The sequence below is a fragment of the Homo sapiens genome, chromosome 21 (assembly GCF_000001405.40).
Source record: "Homo sapiens chromosome 21, GRCh38.p14 Primary Assembly".
NCBI classification, from domain to species: domain Eukaryota; kingdom Metazoa; phylum Chordata; class Mammalia; order Primates; family Hominidae; genus Homo; species Homo sapiens.
In genome coordinates, this window is record NC_000021.9 from 30,493,923 (window position 1) to 30,497,165 (window position 3,243).

The 3,243-nt window shown below is 35.9% G+C and overlaps 1 protein-coding gene across 1 annotated transcript; it reads right to left on the reverse strand.

The window, feature by feature from the left end:
• Nucleotides 1-2,901: 2,901 nt before the first annotated feature.
• On the reverse strand, nucleotides 2,902-3,243 carry KRTAP19-4 (keratin associated protein 19-4). Its single transcript, NM_181610.3, has one exon. The coding sequence runs from the start codon at nucleotides 3,186-3,188 to the stop codon at nucleotides 2,934-2,936; it is 255 nt and encodes an 84-aa protein (NP_853641.1). The 5' UTR covers nucleotides 3,189-3,243; the 3' UTR covers nucleotides 2,902-2,933.

Here is a 3,243-nt window from a genome sequence, read left to right on the forward strand (position 1 = left end):
ATAGCTTTCTTTCTTTAGAGGAACAAATAACCTATCATTTCATTTGCTTTTTGTTGCTGTTGTTTAAGGCATATTTAAAAATACTTAAATCTTAAGTATACAAGTTGGTGATATTTTTCTTATATTTATAGACCACCTATAACAAGCACACTCTAATTCCCAAAGTCTGGCGCTTGACTCTACCAGTCAATATTATTCCTTGTAGAGTAACAATTAACATCCTACATAAGGCTTTCTTGTTCTGTACTTCACTTAGGTGGTCTCATGTAGTATACTGAAACTTCCCATTTCCATCCCCAATTCTTCTGTGTGTCACTATTAGGTAGATCTCTGTCGTATGTGATGTGAATTTTGTTGTTTTAATTTCTGAAAAGTAGTCTACTACATGAATAGAGCACAACTGATTTATGATTCTGCTCTGGTAGGCCTATATTTGAGGAGTTTAGTGGTTTCAGTTTTGGTTTGGTTTGGTTTTTTATTGCTAGAGTGAATAAAGAAAGCTGTTGGCCAGGCGCGGTGGCTCACGCCTGTAATCCCAGCACTTTCGGAGGCCGAGGCGGGCGGATTACGCGGTCAGGAGATCGAGACTATCCTGGCTAACACGGTGAAACCCCGTCTCTACTAAAAATACAAAAAATTAGCCGGGAGTGGTGGAGGGTGCCTGCAGTCCCAGCTACTCGGGAGGCTGAAGCAGGAGAATCGCTTGAACCCGGGAGGTGGAGCTTGGAATGAGCAGAGATCGCGCCATTGCACTCCAGCCTGGGAGACAGAGCAAGACTCCATCTCAAAAAAAAAAAAAAGAAAAAAAAAAGAAAAGAAAAGAAAAGAAAGTTGTTTTGTACCTTTTTATAAAGATTCTTTTCTTCTTTCTTTTCTTTTTTTTTTTTTTCGAGATGGAGTCTCACTCTATCATGCAGGCTGGAGTGCAGTGGCGCTATCTCGGCTCATTGCAACCTCTGTCTGCCAGGTTCAAGCGATCCTCCTGCCTCTGCCTCCTGAGTGGCTGGGACTTCAGGCGTGCATCACCATGCCCAAATACAAAATAATTTTGTATTTTTAGTAGAACAGGGCTTCACCACGTTGGCCAGGCTGGTCTCAACTCCTTACCTCAAGTGATCCACCCACCTCAGCCTCCCAAAGTGCTGGGATTATAGGAGTGAGCCACCACACCCAGCTAAGATCCTTATTTTTAGACCTAGGCTTTCCTATACCTTTCTTATAGCTGGGATAGGAATTGCTAATTTATATCATATCTATACTTATTTTATACATTATATATCATAAATAACAGTTATATATTATATAATATATATTTAGCTTCCACAGATTCTACCAATCTCAAGATGCAGTTATTACATTTACCAGTTGTTAAATTTACTGTACCAACAGGGACGTATGAGAGTTCCAGTTGCTTCACATCCTTACCTACACTAATCACTTGCAAACTCTTTAAAAAATTGACTATTTTTGTGAATACATAATGATACCTGATTATTGTTTTAATATGGTTTTATTTGATTAATAATAATATTCAACATCTTTACATATGCTTATAGGCCATTTAGATTTTTTTTGAAGTAACTGTTGAAGTATTTTGTTCACTTTTAATTGAGCTAGTAATATTTTATTATTGATTCTCAGGTGATCTTTACATATTTGGGCACAGGATTTTTTTCAGATTTATGTATTAAAAATATTTTCATTCACTATGTAGATTTTTTCATCTTAAAATGGTGTCTATACATAAATAAAATGCAATAATATAGTAAACTCCCATTTTAAAATCTTTTTGTTTTATGTTTAATGTTTTTGGTCCTAATTTAAAAAATTTTGACTACCTCTCACATTGTTATTTAAAACTTTTGTCTGTTTTCTTTAAAACTTGTTCTATTTTTGTGATTTTTTTAAAGGCAGTTGATGATTTGAATATTACACTTTTGCTAACTCAGGCTAAAGCAACATAATCGCAAATAAACAGGTTTCAGATACTGCCTATTTAAGTCTACCAAATATGCATCTGTTTTGGGGCTTATGGTATTGTTGTAATGTATTCTTCCTAAGAAAAGCAAAGCTATTCCCTGAAAGTAAAGATATTCTGGAATATTTATTTTAAATCCTTCAGCGATCCATAAAATCAATAAATTCAAGTTCTAATAATTTGATCATACCACAGTGTACTAGAAGTATCAAATGCTTTTTCTAAGTAGTTAAATTGATTATTATACTTGTTCCTAGCTACAGAAGGCCTTTACCTGTATTGTGAGAAAATGCCACTAACGATCAGGAAAATGGAAGAGCTATTATCATATTCTGTCAAACTAAGTAGTGTAGTCCTCAAATGGAATCAATTGACCCAGTCCATGGAGAGTGTTATGTACTCTCACTAGTCTCACTGAAAGTGTGGGTCTTACTAGCTGGCTGTATAAACCTATTCTTATGTTTAGTAAACAAGTCTGAGTCTTTCTAATGCTTCTTAATTTTTTATACCATTTGAATTTATCATTATTTACTAATAACTTTTATTTAGATCTAGATATGCTAGAAATTAAGAGGTTCAAGATTCATCAAAATCTTAAATAAAAAGAGGCATATACTGTGAAAAGTAGACTAATCTTCAAAACTCAGCTGTGATTGTTACACGAATATAAGACCAGAATTTTAAGATTATTGGGAAGCATCAAGAAAAGAAATATGCAATGGAATTGAGAGTCAGCATTTAAACAAATAGACAAATAAATAAACAGAAGCCATGTGTGCCATTTCAAATTGAGACAATTTATTGCAAAGGGAACTAAGCAATTACACAGTTAGGAAAGTATAGGTAGTGGATGCCAGTAGACACGATATAGGCAATTATAACATAATGAATATTCCTAACATCTTAGATGCTATTTTTTTTCATCTTGGATTGATCTAGTGTGCCCTTGTTTGACTCAATATTTGGTTAAATTGAATGATCTTCTTATGACCTCTGATATCGTGTCCTCAGGGTAGGATTTCAGTAGAATTGAGAATCCATATCCTCCATAGCATGATGGGCGGCAGTAGCCATATCCGTTGCCTCCAAAGCCACAGCCATAACCCAGTCTGCGGAAGCTGCCACATCCACAGCCATAGCCATAGCCTAGGCCACCAAAGCCTCCACAGCCATAGCCCAGGCCTCTGTAATAGCTGCCATAGTAGCTCATGGCGTCAGGAGTGGTGAGTTGTTTGGCTGCTCAAGGCAAGATCCTAAGTGTGAAT

What these genes read in the sequence shown, in the direction of transcription:
- KRTAP19-4 (NM_181610.3), bottom strand. Translation starts at nt 3,188, where the DNA reads ATGAGCTACTATGGCAGCTATTACAGAGGCCTGGGCTATGGCTGTGGA.